At 58.2% G+C, this 21,120-nt stretch overlaps 1 protein-coding gene across 3 annotated transcripts in view, besides 1 other annotated feature; it reads left to right on the forward strand.

The window, feature by feature from the left end:
* COL5A1 (collagen type V alpha 1 chain) overlaps positions 1–21,120 on the forward strand; it is a 203,041-nt gene that overhangs the window by 79,377 nt on the left and 102,544 nt on the right. For all 3 annotated transcript variants that reach the window (NM_000093.5, XM_017014266.3, NM_001278074.1), the window contains exons 5-11: positions 6,087–6,218; positions 7,491–7,628; positions 9,057–9,296; positions 10,317–10,484; positions 10,892–10,948; positions 17,295–17,336; positions 17,567–17,629. In NM_000093.5, the coding sequence (NP_000084.3) occupies positions 6,087–6,218; positions 7,491–7,628; positions 9,057–9,296; positions 10,317–10,484; positions 10,892–10,948; positions 17,295–17,336; positions 17,567–17,629 (840 nt within the window). The remainder of the gene's footprint in view (positions 1–6,086; positions 6,219–7,490; positions 7,629–9,056; positions 9,297–10,316; positions 10,485–10,891; positions 10,949–17,294; positions 17,337–17,566; positions 17,630–21,120) is intronic.
* Positions 2,690–3,512: an enhancer, noted in NCBI's record as "H3K4me1 hESC enhancer chr9:137615715-137616537 (GRCh37/hg19 assembly coordinates)". NCBI's record gives its function as "activates a minimal SCP1, AML or CMV promoter by ChIP-STARR-seq in primed H9 embryonic stem cells {active_cell/tissue: H9 hESC(primed)}" and the evidence as "EXISTENCE:reporter gene assay evidence [ECO:0000049][PMID:30033119]".

A 21,120-nucleotide genomic window follows, 5' to 3' on the forward strand; every position in this document is an offset into this window, starting at 1 on the left:
CCTCACTGTCTCCATCCAGGACCCCCCATGATAACCCTCTAGAGCCCCCTCAACTGTCCCCATCCAGGGCTGTCAGATGTCCCCCCCATGGGACCCCCATCCAGGGCTGCCCAGGCTCCCCCATAGTACCCCATCTAGGACCACCCTGTAACCTCCCCATAGTACCCATACAGGGCTGCCCAGGACCCCCCATGACCCCGTTAGGGCTGTTCTGTGCCTCTCGTCACCCCATGGCACCCCATGACTGTGTTTGGATCCCATCACTATCTCGTCTCTGCTCTGAACACTGGACTAGCCACCAACCCACAGCCCCGAGGGCAGAGCTGGAAGTCCCATGCACCTGGGCCTCTGGACTCGCAGGAATCAGGTGGCCCCAGGGGTGGCCCAGGGCAGAGGCAGGTGTCTCACTGGAGTCCTGCGGGGTGGGTTACAGCCTTTCCCTCTGCTTCAGCTCCTCCTCCGCCCAGTCCTTGTGGGGGTGCAGACATCACAGAGCCCTCTTCTCAGCCCTGCCTGGAAGGTGGCACAGAAGGAGCGCTAGCTCGTGCAGCCATGGGGCTGGCCCGTGGGAGGTTGCTGGGCTTCAGGGGAGGCATCCGCTCTGTCTTGGAGCCTGGAGCAGATCCCTCACTACGGCCCCATCTGCCTGGGGTCCTGCAGAGAAGCTCCTCCTCAACAGCCTTGCTGGGCACCCAGGTGTTCAGGGTCCCCTCCCTCACCTGCATGTGTAGGGAAGAAGCAGTGGGTGGGCTGGAAAGAGCCCTGGGCCAGGATCCAGGTCTAGAGCGACCCTGCTTCTGCAGCACTCTGAGCCTGAGCCTTAGCACCTGCGCCTCGGTTTCTCCTTCTCCACGGGGGTGGTGTAGGGCCTGGCAGACCCTTGCCCTTTGGCAGTGGTGCCCGCAGAACACACCGGCTCTTTCTAGTGTGAAAATCCACCTGAGGATTTGGTGGGGAAATGATTCGAACGAAGCACGTGCATTTGCAGAGGAGGGGGTTCTCGAAGTGAAGGGACCTCATGCCCAGTCCTACTATTGTCTGTTCACTGCTGCAGTCTGGGGGTGTGGTGGGCAGGCCACAAAGCAGGGCTGGCTGAGGGCCAGGTCAGCCTGGGATCAGAGCGCCGGGCACCTGGGGACACCTCAGGCTTTGTCCCGCTTCGTGGGTGTTCGTTACCTAGCCTTGGGCCCTGATGGTCGTGCAGGTGTGCCTGGGTGCTGTGTGCCCACAAGCACTGAGACCAGTGCCAGCACCTTATGCAGGGCCTGCAAGGTATGGCCGCTGTGCTGGACACCCTGGGGTACGGGGTTGTGCCGGACACGCCCATGATCCAAGGAGCTTGGGGCTTCCGGGGAAGCAGAGCTGGATCCAGGGGTGCATCAGGGCCCAGGACCACAGCTGCCCCTGAAGGCCCCTGAGGCTTCTCTTCCTTCTTTGAAGTGCCTTTGGAGAACATATATTCAGATGTCAAATTGCCAGTTGAAAGGAGAACATATTTTATTTGAATTGGATGAAATGTGATCCAGAAGTCATGTTGCTTAATAAAAGTGTGTGGTTTTGATTCACTGTTCCTCCTTGTCTGCTGGAGAATTTGAAACATGGGCCAGGAGCCTCTGACATCCAAAGATGGGGGAGAGAGAGAAGGAGAAAGAGGGAGAGGGAGGTGAGGCAGGTGGGCAGCTCTGCTGGCCTCAGCGGGTGGAGAGTGGGGCATCCCGTTTGAGGGTTGGTGTCGGGGAGGGAAGGTGTGAAATGCTGAGGGCTGCGCTAATCAGGGCCCCACTCTTGCTTCCTCCTCAAAATGCCCCCAGTTTACTGTGATGGGGTCTCAGGGGCAGGGGGCAGCAGCAGGTAGCTGTCCTCGGTCACTCCCCGTCCCCGTGCTCTGTCCCTTTGTGGGTCACAGCCCCCGAGGTGAAGTCTGGAAGGAGAGGAACCTGTCACCCAGTGCCCTCCTCAGCCCAGCAGATGCCCCAGCCCAGGGAACAGGTGCAAGCTCAGCTCCCGACGACCGCCAACCCTCAGCTGCTTCCTGCACCGCTGTCCTGAGGCACCACTGTCCTGAGGCACCCTGCGGAGAGGAAGGACCCGGGTTGGAGGGGGCTCGGCGGTGCTGTCCATGATGTGGGGTGATGCGGGGGGTTCAGTCCCTGAAACTTCAGATGAGGCAGTAGGTACGTGGCGGCCAGGGACGCCCCATGCTCTGGGCCTGATGCCTGCAGGGAGAGCACCCGTCTCTGTGCTGCTCCATCTGTTCTGAGATGTGGAGACAGGGGAGGCAGGGCTGGGTCAGCTAGTGTCAGGGGCCCCGCTGCACACATAGGCTCCAGGTCCTGGCCACTGCTTCTGTGGCTCTGCAGTTGGGACCAGTGATGTCTCCTGTCCCAGCCTCTTCTATCTGTTAAATGGAGGTGACAGAAATTTCCCTTGTGAGTCCTGAGTCCTGCAAGGGAACGGGTGCTGGCGTGCACCCAGGCACCGGACGGACCCCTGAACCCTGGCTGCACCCTTCTGGATGGGGCGAGGCAGGGGCAGGTGGGCAGAAGGGCTGTGGCCAGGCTATGGCACAGTAGTGCCGAGAAAGGTGGGTCCGTCTGCCTCTGACCCAGAGGCAGGTATGGATGTGGATGTGTGGCTGAAGTCAGGAGCAGGAACTTACCACCTGGCAGAGCTGCTGCCTGGAATGTTGGGTGGGCTTGGGGAGGGTTCTGAGCTCCTCGCTCATCATTTGAGGTTTTTAAACACAAGTTGGGGTCACCCACGATAACCACAGACACATACCCCACTCTCTTCCCCTTTTTGGTGCTGAGAGCCGTTTCCTGTTGAGCCCCGAGGTCCTCCCCTCGGCCCCTGCCTCGCACCACTCCCTCCCCTCTCAGGAGCACTGTCCTGGCTGCTGTGGCCTCTTCCCTGCCACCCTCTCACACCTGCTGTTGGGCCCCCACCCTGTGTCCTGCATCAGCCCCCTGCTGACCCCCAGTTCCTCCAAACCTACTGCCTGCTGAGGGCTTTTCCTGAGCACATGCCTTCCCCCATTGACCTCAAAATCTTTTGCATTACTTATTGAGTGCCTTCTGCATACAAGGAGTTTTGCCTGGAGGACTCTACAGCTCTGTGAGGTCAATGCTGCCGTTTTATGCTAATTTTTTCAGAGAGAAAGCAGGGAGCAGAGAGGTGTGTGTGAACAGGCTCATCCCAGGCCACACAGCCAGGCAACGGCTGGAGCTGGCATGTGGGCCGGGCCTGTCCGGCAGCACAGAGCTTACTGCTTTTCCAAGTGTGCCTGCGGGCTGGGATTCCCTCCGCCCCGCCCGTGTGCGCAGTGGTTGTGATGCTCCCACCCGCTCCATCCAAGTCTCAGTGCCTGTCTTGCTGTGGCCAGACCCTCGCACCAAAAGTCTTCGTGGAAGAGAGCAGCCCTCGGAACAATGATGGGTGTGCGCACAGAGCTCACAGCTGTGAATGTCTCCCAGCCCTTCCCAGAACACTGGCACCCTGGGAGTGAGGGTGACTCGCCAGGGTCAGAAGTACACAGCGCAAAGCCACGTCACAGCCACCGCGGCTGCAGGCCAGAGTCTTCAAGGCGGAGACAAAGCTGTCACTAGACTCCTCCTGGCCCAGAGAGGGGCCTCGGCGGGGGAGGTGGTGCCTCTGCTTGGATGGAGTGAAGGTTCCGATGAACCAGGCTCAGGTGAACCAGGCTCGGGTGAACCAGGCTCGGGTGAACCAGGCTCGGATGAACCGTGGAGAACTTGCCATCCTCCAGATGGGGTTGGGCACCCTGACCCTGCAGCCCGCTGGCTACTGTGGCTCTGGAAAAGTGTGCAGATGTGATGCAGGGTGGCAAGATGAGCTCCAGACCCAGAGCACTCAGCACCTGGCCCTGCCCCAAGTCCCCTTGCCTGCGGCACCGTCTCTGGTGGCGGGACCGGAGACGCCACCGTCTCCAGGACCGGAGCACCTGGACATGGTCCTCCAAGTTCTTTTCCCTCCCTTGAGTGTGGTGGGGCGTGTAGTGGTTGGCATCTTGCAGGCTGCCTTGGGCTGATCCTGCCCCAGCTGCTGGGGGACCCTGGACAGGTGACCTCACAGGTCCTCGGTTTCCTCTGTTGTAGAGTGGGGATTAGTCGGACACAATTCATAGGGTTCTTGAGGGCACAGAGAGACCAGGTGCAGGCTCTTTACCTTGTACTTGATCTGTGGTAAACATGATCTAATTCGTCATCACTGTCATTACTATAATCATTACTATATTGGTCGGCTTCTATGCATCTGATTATGGTCAAAAGATCCTCTGCTTTGGAACACCCAGGGTGCTGCCAGGGTGACTCCTAGCGTGCCTGTCATCTTCATCTCTGCAGATAGCGTTTATGAGACCTGCATTTCTTATTCCTACTAGCAGCCCTTTTATTTCTCCTGTGTACACATTGTGGTGAGAGAATAATGGAATAAATTGTTTACACATCATGGTTAGAGGAAGAAGGAATAAGTGCTTGCATGCTTTTCCCGGCTGACACAGTTAGAGTGTAGGCTGCTCACAATGAATCCGAAAGTTCAGTTGTTAGCAGTGTGGGTTCATCCGCCTTGTAGTGTGGGGCAGTACTTCCTTCCCTTTTGTGGTTGAATGATATTCCATTCTATGCATATACCACACTCTGTTTATCCATTTAGCTGTCGGTAGACATGTGGGTTGCATTTATCTTTTGGCCATTGTGACTAATGCTACTATGAACACTTGTATACATTTATTTGTTTGAGTCCCTGTTTTGTTTGGAGGGTGAACTGATTTGGGTGAATTGTTTATGCATCTGTTTCAGTTCCGGAGATTGGAATTACTGGTCATATGGTAATTCTAGTTTTAACTTTTTGAGAAACCAGACATCACCTCTTTAAAAATACTCTCTTCCCCAGTGGTTGAGGGGTAATGGCAAAGGAGGCAGGGTACCTCCAAGCCCTCGGGGTCTAGGGCGGGTGAGAGTGCAGGCTGTTTCTCACAACAGGCAAAAGCTGCCAGCACTGCACTGGCATCTGGCAGGTGCTCAACAGGTGTCTGGTAAATGGATGAGTGAATGGGTGGTGGATTGATGGGTGGGTGGGTAGATGGGTGGATAGACAGATGAATGGATGGGTGGATGGGTGGAAGGATGAGTAGAGGGACGGAGAGATGGATGGAAGGATGTATGTATCTGGATGGATAGATAGATGGATGAATTAATGAGCAGATAGATGGCTGGGTGGATGGATGGACAGGTGGATAGGTAGATGGATGAATGGATGAGTGGATGGATGGGTGAATGGGTTGAAGGATGAGTGGATAGATGGATAGATGGATAGAAGGATGTGTATGTGCAGATGGATGGATGCATGGATGGATAAGTGAATGAGTGGACAGACGGATGGAGGAGTGGATGGATAGAGGGTTTAATGGATGGATGGACAGATGAATGGGTGAATGGATGGGTAGATGGATGGATGGGTGGATGGGAGAATGGATGGATGGGTGAATGGATGGAAGGACTGGTAGATGTAGATGGATAGGTGGACAGATGGGTGAATGGATGAATGAAAGAGTGGATGGATGGATGGATGGATGGGTAGATGGATGGAAGCATGTATATATGCAGATGGATTGATGGATGAGTGAATGAGTGGACAGATGGAAGGATGGATAGATGGTTTATGGATGGATGGATAGGTGAATGGGTGAATGGATGGATAGATGGATGGATGGGTGGATGGGTGAATGGGTGGGTGAATGGATGGAAGGACTGGTAGATGTAGATGGATAGGTGGATAGATGGGTGAATGGATGAACGAATGAGTGGATGGATGGATGGATGGATGGATGGGTAGATGGATGAGTGAACGGATGGATGGATGGATGGATGGATGGATGGATGGGCCAGCCTAGCTTGAGTGTCTTTTGTGAGTGGCAGCTTCTAGGGAGAATGTTTGGCTCTGAGGACAAGCTCGTCTTGTGGCTTGGTCTGGACTTTCCCCTGCTTCAAGGCATGGGGCTGTGTCTCCCAGGTCCCCATGCGAGTGCTCTGTGAGCTGCTTTTTCATGAGCGTCTCTTCTTTTCCAGGGTGACATCCAGCAGCTGCTCTTTGTCTCGGACCACCGGGCAGCTTATGATTACTGTGAGCACTACAGCCCTGACTGTGACACCGCAGTACCTGACACCCCACAGTCGCAGGACCCCAATCCAGATGAATATGTGAGTTAACTCTGGCTGGGATCTTGGGGAGCATGAGCAGACTACTTGGGATGGTTGGTGAAGAGACACATAAGCCATGGGACCCTTATTTTAAATAAATCCACTGGGTGAGAATTTGGAGGGACCTAGGAGGTAAACATTGGGATATCTGACTCACTTTACTAAATAGCACTGCCCAGAATGATAGGGTCACAGAGTTTGTCATCAATAACCCTCTCCTTTAACCTTTTGAACAAGCTCCTTGATGGTGAATGCCCAGTGCTCTCTCACGCTTGGGCTTGACCTTGATGGGGTATTTGTGAGCACAGATGCCACAGGTGTCCCCCATGGACTCGATCCACTGGAGGGGCCATGTGCAGCTCGCCAAAGAGGACGGAGCCTGGGCTTGTCTACTGTAGAATGGCCAGCCCTCGGATCCCTTGAGTGTAAAGTGTACTGTAGAGTGGCAGCCGTGCCTGACACCTTTGTCCCTCTTCCTGGGACCCGCCATGTCCATGGGTCAGCTGTCCTCCCCCTCCCGCTGCACACCCTCGCGGCACTGCAGTTTTTCTTATTTGCAGTTCTTCCTATCACCTCTGCATGAAAATGCTCTCCCACTCCCTGGGCCCACTGCCTCTCATTTCTCATCCGTAATATTAAATCCTGTTTATTTCTCCTTGGGTCTTCCTTCTTTCACCACCAGTCAGGAAAGAAGGAAGGGTAGCTTTCAGGAAGCTGTGGGACCCCGTGGCCCAGGCCACATCTTACAAACCCCAGGAGGGGCAGGACAGAGCTCCCAGCCGAGTCCCTGCTGCCCCGGCCTCCTGCCAGGCTCCTCCCAGCTCCTGGTGTGGGAATGGGCTCAGGACAAGGCCTACTCTGTCCCACTGAAGCCCTACCCGTGGGGTCCCTGGGCTTTGAGGCTTGGGGCTGAAGGCCCGGGAGCCTGCTGGAGACATGGTGACGGCTGCACAGACTGCCATTCTGTTGGTTGTTCTGGCCTGGGTTCCAAAGGGCCAGAAGCCTTCACCTTTGAGGGCTCATCTTTCTCTGACTGCTCGAGGGGACCTGGTGTTCCCCCTGCTTTCTCTCTTGTGCTTCTGATGAGGCTGCGTCAGCTTTCCAAGGAGCTGGAGAGGGAGGAACCCCATCCGGGGACCCACAGGGAGGTTCACGCCTGGGGCTGGACGGGGCGTCGTGGCGTGCAGATCTGGAGGTTGCGGAAGGAAGGACAGCAGGCTGGTCGCTCTGCGGGCTCCGCTGCTTCCTCACGGGGCCGCAATTCGCTTTCAGTACACGGAAGGAGACGGCGAGGGTGAGACCTATTACTACGAATACCCCTACTACGAAGACCCCGAAGACCTAGGGAAGGAGCCCACCCCCAGCAAGAAGCCCGTGGAAGCTGCCAAAGAAACCACAGAGGTCCCCGAGGTCTGGGCTGAGCGGGGGACTGGGTTGGGCTGGGCCCCTCGAGGCCATGGTGCAGGGGAGGGCGAGGCCAGGAGAGGTTGTGTCAGGGTAGAGGGTTGGGGGCTGTCTGGTGAAGGTTGCGGGGGCAGCTCAGTGAGGGAGCCGGCTGTTGCCATCCGAGCTTTGCTGTCACGGGGCGTATCGGGCTTTCCGCAGTGAGGAGGACGTTGGGAGATGCCAAGTATACAGGGGAGCATCTGCCAGCATCTCTGGGCCCTGGCCCCGGTCCCCACCCTGTACGAGGCACAGGGCTCTAGCAGGCCCAGGATGAGTTTGGTTCTCGGGTTCCTTAAGTGTGGGTGCAGCTGTGGTGGGAGAGGAGAGAGGAGAGCTCAGGGGCTCCCCCGGGGGGTGACGCAGTCTGAGGTCGGCCTCGGGTCCTCCCCGCTCTGGGCTGTCATCCCCTCACCTCTGAAATTGGGGAGGGTTGTGAGGGTGCGTGAGCGGCAGTGAGAGCCGGAGGGTCACACCTAGCAGGGCCCGGGCCCCGTGCAGGAGTGTGTATGGGTGGGTGTCCTCCTGGGGAGGAGGCTGTCCAGCCTCAGAGCCATTGTCAGAGGTAAAGAGGGTGGGGTGTGAGCATGGGCGGTGTGTGTGTGTGCATGAACGAGTGTGTGTGAGCATGTGGCATGCAGGCACGGGTGTGCTTGAGCCTGCGTGTGTGTGAGAGTGTGTGTGAGCGTGTGTGCATGCGGGCACGGGTGTGCATGAGCCTGTGTGTGTGAGCGTGTGTGAGCGTGTGTGCATGCGGGCACGGGTGTGCATGAGCCTGTGTGTGTGAGCGTGTGTGAGCGTGTGTGCATGCGGGCACGGGTGTGCATGAGCCTGTGTGTGTGAGCGTGTGTGAGCGTGTGTGCATGCGGGCACGGGTGTGCATGAGCCTGTGTGTGTGAGCGTGTGTGAGCGTGTGTGCATGCGGGCACGGGTGTGCATGAGCCTGTGTGTGTGAGCGTGTGTGAGCGTGTGTGCATGCGGGCACGGGTGTGCATGAGCCTGTGTGTGTGAGCGTGTGTGTATCCTTCCAGGGAAAGGTGACCTGGTCATCTCACATTGCTCTGAGAGCCTGGAGTGTTTTGCTACTTTTGTTTTTTAAATACTGAGATATGATTCACCCTTTTCTGGTGTGTAACTGGGTGGGTTTGAGTCCATTCTGAGCACGCTTAGTAACTGGGGGCTTGCAGCTGGGCTGCCTTCTTCCCACTTGCTCTGCCCCCAAGCCCCATGGATGGGGGCGGCCCCTGCACCCAAGAGGTCTCTGGGCCTCTTGACAGGCCTGGGCTCCAGGCGTTGCCACTGAGATGCCTGCACCCGGACATGCGGCAAGTCCCAGACCTGGCACCACTGCCGGCCTCCGCCCTGACTCCAGCTGTCTCTGTCCTTGGCTCCCAGGAGCTGACCCCGACCCCCACGGAAGCTGCTCCCATGCCTGAAACCAGTGAAGGGGCTGGGAAGGAAGAGGACGTCGGCATCGGGGACTATGACTACGTGCCCAGTGAGGACTACTACACGCCCTCACCGTATGATGACCTCACCTATGGCGAGGGGGAGGAGAACCCCGACCAGCCCACAGACCCAGGCGCTGGGGCCGAAATTCCCACCAGCACCGCCGACACCTCCAACTCCTCCAATGTAATTTCTTTCCTTCCCATTGGTTTGGTCTGGGGCAGTGGGCCAAGGGCCAGGGCTGGGGCCACAATGCTGAGCTCCCTTCTTACTCCAGTTCTCACCTTGGTGTCCTCGGGTGGCCCCTGTGTTCCACCACACCCTGGCCCTGGGCCCTTTGCAGCTGGGTGGCGTAATACTTCCCAGGGGAGGCCATTGCTGAACAAGTTTGGAATCCCTGGTTTGCTGAGTTCATCTCAATGTTGTCAATTTTTTGCCTGGAAAATGGGTAGAATGACCCTAGCCCTTCCGGTCTTTGAGGATTCAGGTGGAAATTGGATGAGGAGGGGGGTGGCTTGTGGACAGAGTCCCTGCCTGTGGCCTGGGTGTGGCCAGGCAGGATGGGGCTGGGAGCCAGGATCCAGACAAATACAGCGAAGCAGGAGCTGGGGCCGCCCTGGCTGGGACGGGGGCTGACTGTCAGCAGACAGGCCTGAAAGCTCTGCCCGAGACCTTGGAAAGTTAGTCTGCGTCTCTGGACCTCGCGGTTCTCCTTTCCAACATGGCACTGACAGTTCCTGTCTCTGGGGGCTGTGAAGTTTTCAGATTCAGGAGGAGCCTTGCGTAGTGTGTAGCACATGGCCGATGCTTAACATAGCCACTGTGTGATGCAGAATCTCCACTGCCAGAGAGGACACCTCGTTCCAGCAGGTCCAGACCCCTGCGTCTGCAGCACCGCCCTGGGATGCATTATCGCAAGACCCTGGGGCTGTGGGGTGCAGCCCCTGCCTGAGCGGGTGCACGGGTGTGCCAGCTCCATGGTGTGCCAGCTCCGAGTTGTCAGACCTGGAGCCCTCAGAGGAGGTCTCTCCCAGAGGGGGGTCTCTGCCCAGTTGACCGGGTAGCCATGGTGCCAGCACAGGGCCTGATGGATCTGGGATCTCTGCCCAGTTGACCGGATAGCCACAGTGCCCGCCCAGGGCCTGATGGAGAGGCAGTGCCTGGTGCGTTTGCGAGGCAACCCTGCGCCTTCCTCTCCCTCTGCAGCCAGCTCCGCCTCCAGGGGAAGGTGCGGATGACTTGGAGGGGGAGTTCACTGAGGAAACGATCCGGAACCTTGACGAGAACTACTACGACCCCTACTACGACCCCACCAGCTCCCCGTCGGAGATCGGGCCGGGAATGCCGGCGAACCAGGATACCATCTATGAAGGGGTGAGAGGGTGCAGGCCCCCGTTCCGGGTGGGGTTGGGGGGCTGGTGGGGCATCATGGGGGCTCCTGCCCAAGAGCCTCCTCAGGGGTGGGCCTCTACGGGCAGCTCAAGTGTTACACCCTATTCCCAAAACTTTATTTTTAAAGAGACCTCGGTGCCTCGAATTTGCTCTGAATAACGTGTGTATCGGAGCATACTCTCCTCTGGGCCTGTTTCTTCGTTAGTAGTCACATGGGCTCCCGTGGGCCTGGCCTCTGTCACGCTCCTGCCATCCTCCTGGGCCTGGGGAGATGCCCAGCTACGATAGTGCCCTCGGCCTTGCGAAATCGGGCAGATTTTGTGTAATCTGGACTTTCTTTCTCACTTTTCTCTCTGATTCTCTTTCCATCTGCCTTTTATCACCCCCAGATTGGAGGACCTCGGGGCGAGAAAGGCCAAAAGGGAGAACCAGCGATTATCGAGCCGGTGAGGACATTTTCTCATTCCCTCCCTGCGCCGGGGTGTCCGCTGCTCGGGGTCACAGCGGGGTGTGTAGGGTGTGAACAGGTCCGTGGGCCCCTGCACCTGCGCGCACTGGGTCACTTCGAGCAACCACCTGGTCTCGTGGAGTCCACGCACCACTTGTCCCCAGGACTTGTGAAGAATCCCCTTGGGTAGGGGATGTTCTGGACTGTGATGGAGGGGGCGGGATAGGTGCTGATCAAAGCCGGTCCTGCACCCAAGCTCTGGGCATCTCAGTGCTGGTCAGTTTCACCTGGGATGAAAAGCAGCTCAGAGCTATCGAGGCGGAGGCGGAGTCCCCTTTGAGGGGTGGAGGAGAGGATGTAAATGGCCCATTCCGTGTAAAAGATGCGCGCGGCAGTGGTAGGGAATAGTTAACACGTGGTCGTACCTCTCTGCGTCTGTTATGCAACCGTTTGGAGTAAGTTTACAGAAGCTGTTGAAACATGGAATACTGTTTATGAAACTTTATCAAGGGAATGAAATAAAACAGCACTGTGCTGAAATTCCAGCTGAGTAAAACCCAACTATGTTAGGTAATGAGATCACGGGTGAGTTCAAAAAGTTACTGTTGATAATGCCCTCAAGCGTGGGACTGTAGCGAGGACGTTCTAGATGCCCCTCCTGGTTGGCGCGTTTGGTGGGGGCCCTGCCCCATACTGGGGTGTCCTTGTCCCATAGGGGGCCATGGCCTGGCTGGGAGGCCTCCAGTTCTCCCTGGGGTCTCAGAGCCACTAAGGTCTTGATGCCCCGCCCCGCCGCCGGCAGGCAGGATGCCCTGTGATCAGCTGGGCAGGGAGTCCTGCCGCTGCATGTGGTGGGCACGACCGGAGAGCAGGGAGGAGCCAGCACCAAGGCCCACCCTGCCATGTTGTCCAAGTGCCCACAGGAGGAGGTGTGCGTCCTGCACCACGGCCAGTCATGAGGCTGGGGGCAGCTGTTTGTTCTGCCGCCAGGACTCAGTTCCTGAGGGCTGAGCTCAGGATACACCTTGGGTCTCCCAGAAGCCCCCTGACCTTGCAGTTCCCAGAATGTGCAGTCACAGTGACCCGCCACCCTACTGTAGAGCTGGGGACATTCTCTTGGAACCTTGACGGATGGCACTTAGCAGGCCTTTATACCCCTGGAATCTCTTTGAAGCCCGTGGCCAGGGCAGACGGGATGTGTCCCATCTCTGGGGTGGAATTCCCAGGGTCCAGGGCTTCACCCCTTCCTGGCCTATGGAAGCGTCTGGATGGCTCTTGTGGGGCTCTATGCCCTTGCTCCAGGCCCAACCCAGGGGTGGGACCTGCCGGTGCCTACAGACACATCCTTTTCTCGGACCCCCTTTCCAGTGCTCTCTGGGGGTCCAGGGAAGACAGAGCTTGTCTGAGGCAGAAGGGTCATGGGCTGCAGGGCAAAGGGGTGCAGAGGCATGAAAGGAGACTCTGAGGCCAGGATCCCCCTGCTCAGCATTGTGGAAAACCTCAGAGCCAGGCCTGGGCTCAGGGACCAGAGCAGCTGTGGGGGAGAGTGACTGCCGTCCGCCTGGGCGGACTCACCCAGAAGCAGGGGGCTGCGGGCCTGTTCTGCTCTGCCCAAGGGTGTTTGCCAGAAGGTGAACAACAGCAGAGGCTACATCCAAGGTCCCAGCCCCAAGCTACACTTGTTATTGAGAGGTGGGACATCCGGTTGCATTTCCCCAGACTTGGCCCCCAGGTAGACTTGAGGTTGGCCTTGGGCTTCTTTTGTGCTGTCCCCATTGCTTCAGTGAAAGGGGGTCCTTGCTCGGGGAGGAAGATGGGATCTCAGGGTGGGCAGGTGCCCCTGGCTCTGCAGGATCCCAGTTCGGTTTCCCCTCCCCGCTCTGGGAGGGCCGGACTGAAACCTTTGAATGAGCTTCGTGTTGGCTCATGTTCCCGAGTAAGCTGGCTCTGTGAGTGTAGACGTGGTGTCTGGGCTCCAGGAGGGGGTTGGGAGTGTGGGGTGGGCACAGGTTTTCCACTGCCAGGCACCCGGGAAGGCAGCAGTGGGCAAGGGTGGGCCAAGGAGAGGGCCGAGAGTCGAGGTGGCCCCACAGGAACATCATGGCTCTGGAAAGTCCAGTTCACCTTTGTTGGGAAAAGCAGCAGCCGTACAGGAACATCATGGCTCTGGAAAGTCCAGTTCACCTTTGTTGGGAAAAGCAGCAGCCGTCTGGGTGCAGTTAGGAAGGATTCCCTCCCCCGGGCCCCAGCCTGCTCCAAGTGTCCTGGGGCCTTTGGCCAGGCCCCCTGCAGAGATCACATAAACAGTTGGAATTTCTCAACCTGGAACGTTGCCAGATATCCTTGGGTCCAAGCTGCACATAAACAGATGGCCAGGTCCTGGGGCCCTGCGGGCGTCCCGGCCTGTGGAAGGGGGTGTCTGTTGTCTGCCCCACCTGAGCTCCCTCTTGGGAGATGCATCTGTTCCAGGGGCATGCCCAGGTCTTTCCCACTCAGTCCCGCTCCCTCTCATTGTCAGCCAGACCAGAGGCTCCCTAAAAGGACAGGAATCCACGGAACCGAGAGGAGACAGGTTCATCCTTATCCTTGTGCTTCCAGGCAGGAAGCCCCCAGACTCAGTGGCTGATTTTACCTGGGCCACATCCATTAGGGGCATCCAAATCACCATCTCCACTTGACACTGTTTTTTGTTTTTAAAATATGTGCTGTTTACCAGATGGGTGGACCCTCCATTGAGATTGTCTTGAGTTCTGCCAGGTCTGAGGTCTTTTATTTCTTTTGTTAAAATTGTATGCATTCGGCCGGGTGCGGTGGCTCACACCTGTAATCCCAGCACTTTGGGAGGCTGAGGCAGGCAGATCACCTGAAGTCAGGAGTTCGAGACCATCCTGACCACCATGGCAAAACCCTGTCTTTACTAAAACTACAAAAAAATTAACCAGGTGTGGTGGTGGGCACTTGTAATCTCAGCTACTCTGGAGGCTGAGGCAGGAGAATCAGTTGAACCCAGGAGGCGGAGGTTGCAGTGAGCCAAGATTGCGCCACTGCACTCCAGCCTGGACAGCGTGAGACTCCATCTCAAAAAAAAAAAAAAAATTGTGTGCATTGAAGGTGTGCAGCATGTTTGATAGAGTTACCCAGGCACAGACAGACACAGTGAAGTGATCCTGCACCCACCACCACCACCCCATAGCTGCCTCTTTTTCTTCTTTATGGTAAAAGTGCCTAAAGTGTACTCTTTTGGCAAATGACATCTACAGTGCAATATCATTAACTATATCGAGGCGTTTTCCTCTCGTTCCTCTTTCGCTGGGTCAATTTTGAGAGTGGCGTCCGTGGTTGGGTGGGCCGGGGCGGGAGCGGGGCCACAGCTTGCCTGGGAAGGTTCAGGCATCCCCACCCTCAGGCGCATTCATCCAGCTGTTCCCAGCTTCCTTCAGACGCTGACCTGGGATGATCTGGTGTTGGCTTCCCTGCAAGGTCCCCGCCCGCGTTGCCCCAGTTCCCTGAGAAAAGCAATTTGCGTGTCTGGGAAGGCAGCTGCTGTCCCTGGCCCCTTGATGGCCAGTGGTTTCTCCCTTAATCCCAGCTCAGCCCTGGGCTTTCTCAGCTGCCTTTGTCAGAGACGGAAATTGGAAAACTGGCATCTTGGAGGCTGCTTGGATGAGCTCTCTGTGTACAGCACACACACGGGTGTCTCTCTGAGTGTGCATCTGTGTAAACACAGTGCAGAGCTCCCCAGCTGGGGCAGGATGGGAGGGGTGGGGAGATCGGTGTTCCCCCCAACCGGGAGTCCCCTCATCAGCCTGGTACCCAGCACCTCTGGTGACAGCCTCTGGTGGCCTGTGGCCTGGCTGGACATCTGCGGCCCCCCCAGCCGGGAGTCCCCTTGCCAGCCTGGCACCTAGCACCTCTGGTGACAGCCTCCGGTGGCCTGTGAACTGGCTGGACATCTGCAGCCCCCTGGCCGGGAGTCCCCTCACCAGCCTGGTACCCAGCACCTCTGGCAGCAGCCTCCGGTGGCCTGTGGCCTGTGGCCTGGCTGGACACAACCTTTGACTTGTCAGAAGTGAGCTTAGTTCATTGTGAGCTGCTGTTACAGCACACCACAGTCAGGGTGATTTAGAATGAACAGGACTTCATTGGCCCACAGTTCTGGAGGTCAGGAAGTCACATATAGAGGGACCACATCTGGCGAGGGCCTTCTTGCTGTGTCCTCACATAGCGGAAGGCATCGCATGGTGAGAAGGAGCGGGAGAGAAGGTGACTGCTGCCATCCTGTCATCAAGAGCCCACTCCCACCCTAACGAGCCCGCTCCCATCGTAGCTGCATTCACCCATCCAGGAAGGCAGAGCCTGGTGACCTAATCACCTCCTGAAGATCCCACCTCTCAACACGGTTGCATTGAGGATTCAGTTTCCAACACATGACTTTTGGGGAGACACATTCAAACCCTAGCACATTCTGTCCCAGCCCCCAAATTCATGTCCTTCTCACATACAGTTTACATTCACTCCATCCGGTACCCACATCATCTCAAAAGTTCGAAGTCCAGAGTCTCACCCAAATCAGGTACTGATGAGACTTAGGCTCAAATTATCTATCTTGAAGCAAATCCCTGTCCAGCTGTGAGCTTGGGGAATGAAACAAGCCTCATGCTTCCAAACTACATGGTGATGGGGAGGGGGACAGGTTCCCATTCCAAAAGAGAAGCATGAAGAAAGGGGTAGCAGCCCCGAGGAAGTTCAAAACCCCACAGGACGAACCTTTCTAGAATAATCTTTCACTTGGTGTGCCACCTCCTGGGCACACTGGAGGGAGGCGGCCCCAGGGCCTCAGGCAGCACTGCTCATACAGCTTTGCACAGCAGGTCTCAGGAGTTGGAGCCTCGTCCTTGCTGCCCTCCCAGGCTGGCGCTGTATGCTGGTGACGCTACAGTCCTGGGGTCTCAATGGTGCCTCCACTTCCATAGATCCACCAGGCGTCATCCCAGGGAACTCTCTGCAGAGCCTCTGCCCCTGTGGCTGGTTTCTGCACGGGACCCCAGGCTGTCCATGCCACACTTTGACCTCTACGTGGAGGGCGCCATGGCCGCAGTTCCTGCCTTCCTTCCCTGCAGCTGCAGGATAATCAGTACCCATGGGTGTCGCCGAGGCCACACCCACACCCTCCAGAGCTGAGCCAGAGCTGCCCCTGGGCCTGCTGGAGCCTTGGCTGGGCGGCTGACGGGTGCTGTGTCGCAACGTGGGGAGCAGACACTTGAGGGGTGCAGGGCAGGGAATGCTGAGTTCCTGGGTACCTCTTTGAAAATGTGGTCCCCCAGGTCCTAGCTTGCCTCAAAGATCTCTGGCTGCCTCGGGGTCATTCTCCATTGTCTTGTTGAGTAGCACCTGGTTCCCATCTGTCAGAGCAAGTCCCTTGAGGAACAGTCGCCCTGAAGTCGTCATGGAACACGGAGGACTCTTGGGGCATTGGGGGTGCCTGACCCTGGCGTTGCCAGGTCAGAAGTGGAGAGAGGAATCCCGCCCTGGGGAAGGGGTCGGAAGTGGGGGTCTCAGGGCAGGGAGCCCCGTCCTGCAGGGAGCCGCTCCCACTGCTGCCTTCACAGCTGTCCACATTGCCTTTCCCAGGGCTCAGGCTGACCCAAGAGCCAGGAGGCCCTGTCCCCATTGGGGTTAGAGTGAGGCCTGGGTGTGCTTGAGGCAGATGGGCCCTGTGGTGAGGTGAGGGCCAGAGGAGGAGGGCTGAGTGGGCAGGTGGACATGGCAGGGTTTCCCATGGGTTCTGGGCTGCTGCGTGCATGGGAGGATGCACCTCTTACCTGGAGGGAGGCGGGGTCTGGAGGTTGCAGCCCTGGGGCCTGACGGTGGTCCTGGCTGGGGACAGAAGTTCAGCCTGGAGCTGGGGCACCTATTTTTCCCTTATCCTTCCCAAATCCACCCGAGTCCCCTTGTCCTGGCATCCACCTCCTCCCTCGAGTGGCTTTGGCCTGGCGGACCTGCCTGGCACTCCCCTTTGGGGTGATGCAGGGAGCCTGGCGGTCTCGGCTCCTTTTCCTCATCTCGGCGTCTTCAGGTGCTTCTCGTGGCGCTGGTCTTGCGGGAGCCTGTGTCTGTCACTGGCCGCTGGCCCGGGTTGCTCTTCTGCCAGCGAGTGCCAGGAGGACAGCCACTGAGGCCCCACCACAGGCCCCCTTTGCAGTCTGTGCTCGTGACTCCCCAGGACAGCAGGAGCTGAGCCAGGGCCTCTTGTGCATGCAGCTGAAGGCCGTCCACACCACTGGGGTCTGGGGTGTCGGGAGGGATGGGCTGCGGTCTCAGACGCCCTCTCTCTGTCTCCCCAGGGCATGCTCATCGAGGGCCCGCCTGGCCCAGAAGGCCCCGCGGTGAGTATCCGGCTTTATCCTGTGACTTGCAGAAGGTGCTCTTGGTGGGGTGGGGTTGGTGACACCCCTTATGTCTCCTGGATGGAAAAGAGGGGGGCTCTCCGCTTTTGCAGATCCCCTGGGAGCCGGCGCTATCCCACCCCCACCTCTGCCTTGGTTGGCCAGTTGGAACTTGGACCTTGCCCTGCGGCCCCATCTTCTAACTGCCCCAACTTTATTTTTAATTCTAGGGTCTTCCCGGACCTCCAGGAACCATGGGTCCCACTGGCCAAGTCGGGGACCCTGGAGAAAGGGTAAGAGGTTGACTGTGTTTCCTGAGATCACACAAGGTGTGGGGCTGCCCACGCCTCCTCTCCACACTGTGACCCGAGCTGTCCCTGCCTGTGGAGGTGACCCAGAGGCTTGTGTCTTCAAATCCCCCCTCACCCAGGCACTCCTCACACCAGCCCCGTTCAGATGTTTCTGGGGCTGAACTGTGGCTATGGGGAGAGTGGGGCCCCTCGGGGCCCAGGGAGCCTGCCAGTGCTCAGCCCAGACGGTGGCCTCAGGACCCTGCAGTTGCCCAGCAAACGGCCGCAGCAGCAGTAACCACAGCAGATGGCTCCGGGGCCTTTCCCACTCCTCGCCCCTGGGCAGCCACACCACGTGGAATTGGCCACCCCCCTTGCTGGGTTTGGGAACTTCCTTGGTCTGGGTTGCACCTGGCTCACAGGCTCAGAGGCATCCTCGGGTGTCCCTCGCCGCGGGAGGAGATGGAGGGAGAGCTGCTCCCTGGCTGCCGCGATTTCCTTCTGACACCTGGTGGGCGCTCCAAGTACTGCGGCCTCCTGGTGTCCGGCGGGGCGGGAGTTTTCTCTTCCTGCTGTTGGAATGAATGTGGATTTGAGTGCAGAAGGACTAAGAACTGATTCCTGGACAGCTGGCTTGTGGGTGGGAGAAACAAGGGCTGCGTGCGGGTGTTCGCGGGTGTTCACGCCAGGGCCCTGCCTGCTGTCCGGGGCAGAGTGAGGACCCTGTGGGTGTTGTGGTGGGTGGATGCAGGGCAGGGTCTGGTCGTGTGAGAAGGTGGTTCGTGATGTCAGAGCGCAGTGGCTAGGGATGCTTCCCAGGTTACTGCACGGGGAGGCGTTTGGGGAGTGTCTTGTGCAGTGCCTGGTGGCTTTGCAGCAGTGCTCAGGAAAGGCGGGCCAGGGCGCAGGACAGTAAGTCCTGGCCTTGGACCTGGAGGTTCTTACAGGTGCTCAGTACCCCTGGAAAGCTGGGGAGGGGCAGGACAGGTGAGGTCAGGCAGCAGGATGCAGGGGCAGGCGGCGGCAGCCTTCTTGGGAGCAAGAGCCGAGCCAGTGGGGATGCTTGCTTGGGGAGGAGATGGGAGCACTGAGGCCGGCCTTTGGAGGAGAAGGATTCAGGTCAGCTATGCGGGAGGAGGTTGTTATCGTTCTGTGTGGCTGGGTGACCTCTGAGGGCAGTACGCATCAGATTGGGCCACACAGTAAGATTCTCTGCCACGTTGCTTTTCACGGTCAGGGATTTGGAGGTCCAGAAGAGGCGGGTCTTGCTCCATGGCAAGGGCCGTGGCGGGAAACAGAGTGGGGTGGGGGCTTGGCTGGCCTCTGGAGCACAAAGCTTTCACAGCATCCCCGGCCTGGCAGCCACATTTCCAAAACTCCAGACAGGCAACAGCGAGTGGCCGCTGCTCTTGCCCAGCCAGCACCGGCCAAAACTCCAGACAGGCAACAGCGAGTGGCCGCTGCTCTTACCCAGCCAGGACCGGCATGGCTGGAGCTCTGTGCTGGGGGCTGCAGCCACCCCAGCTCGCTCTGGAGACCCCTTCCCCCAGATTCGCGTGAGATGGGGCAACGGCCAAGCTCCTCCTCCGCAGAGCTGCCTGCGGATGGGTCCACAGGTGTGGCTGGGTTCGTATGCAAAGGAGAGTGCATTGCATGGCACTGGGAGCTGTTTTCTCTCCCAGATGTAGGACAGGGTGGTACCCACAGGGCACAAATGCCGGTTGACACACAGGGCACCCAGATGCTGACTGACACTGCCTCAGTGGTGTTCCACGGCTCCGTCCTCCTTCTATCCATCCAGCGTACAGATTTGTACTGAGTGCCTGCAGGGCTGGGCACTGCTCTAGCCTGGGGATCTCAATGGTGTGAACCAGAGGGGTGCTGGTTCACACCTCACCATGCGGTCCCTGCCTTTGGGCTGATCCTGGCTTGGGAGTCACTGGTGGGTGGCCCTGCCAGTGCCTTGTGACACCGTGACCTACCCAGCTGCCGTGGAGGAGCCAAGGGCCCTGACTGGAGAATATCGTTGGTTTAGGAGCTGGTCCTCCTCAAACTCACATCAGGGTCCAGGAGCATGAGGACTGAGGTTGGGGTTGGCAGAGGAGCCAACTCCTCCAGGGTCTGCCATCCGTGGAGTCAGAGGAGAGACCTGGAGCCCACCGGCCTCCCCAGGGCCCTTCCAGTGAGAGGGGTGCTGGTTCCAGGAGCTGAGAGCTGACCACCCCTCTGGGTCCAGCTCCGGCCAGCCTTGTTCAGGAAGCCATCCCTGCTCACCGCTCAGCGCCCTCTTGATGTCCAGATCTTGCTCGATGCCCGCTAATCAGCTGTGAAAGATCACTGGCTATGGGGTGAGGCCCTGCAGTGCAGCCTGCGGTGGGCCGGGCTCAGGTGCCTGTGCGGCGGAGAAACAACATTGTCTCTGCCCTCGGAGGTTGAGCATCTGGGGCCTCCAAAAGACAGATTAACAAGAGAAGAGGCATACGATTTTAACACTTTTAATCTTCTATGCACGGGGGCTTCGCAGACAAGAAGTAAAAACCAAAAAAAGTGCTTGGGTTCGGGAGCATATATACCATTTTAACAAGCAGCAATAGGATGTGGAGAAGTGGCTAGACCAAGGAAAAGGGGGTTTGGGCTTCGCGGGGTGACAGATGGTGGGCAAGTGACTAGGAACTCCATGGAGGAACGAATGGAAGATTAAGGTTATCTTGGCAAAGTCTGTTGATGCAGATTCACTGGGGGCTGGCCTCCCTCTCAGGTGATAAGGGGCGCTCTCCAAATCCTGGTACAGAAGCAGAGGCAGGAGGGTGGGGTGGGAGGAGGGGGTAATGCCCTGCTTTTAGGCAGAAGAGGGGAGGTAAGAGAACTCTTCTTGCGTCCGTCGATTCTTACTTGGCTTCAGCAGAAAATAGTCGTTCTGCAGGGGAGTGGCGTGCTCTGTCCCCTCCGTCTGCTTGGCCTCCTGTGCCTCTGTCTGGGAGGGCCTTTTCCCTGGGGTCTGGAAGAGCCCTCTTCTCCCTGCCACTCCCAACCTCCCGCCTTGGGCTTCCCCAGCCCTTCCTCCCTTCCCCAAGGGCCGTCTGGCCGTGACCGGTTTGTGCCTTTTCTTCCTCACTGGATGGTGAGTTCCTCAAGACAGGCCTCACTTCTGTGCCCTTCCTCACACCCTGCTCCCTGTGGGCAGCCGTGGGCAGCCGTGGCAATTGGCTGGGAGCCGTCTGTGCACCTGTGCCGTGGCATCCCACTGGGTATCATGCAGCCCTGACCAGCTGCTGAAGCCCACACCCTGTGCCTCCACTGGCTGGCCCTGGGTGTTGCTTCCTTCACACACTCTGGTGAGCCCTGCACACTCTCCCGCTGCTCCCCTTGGATGACCTTCCATGCTGCATCTGCCTTCTAGCACCTCAAATCCTTTCTTGCTCTTGTGCCCACGGCTGCCCGCAGGGAGCAGAGTGCAAGGAGAGGCACAGAAGTGGGGCCTGCCTTAAGAAACT

This window comes from Homo sapiens, chromosome 9 (genome assembly GCF_000001405.40).
Source record: "Homo sapiens chromosome 9, GRCh38.p14 Primary Assembly".
NCBI lineage: Eukaryota > Metazoa > Chordata > Mammalia > Primates > Hominidae > Homo > Homo sapiens.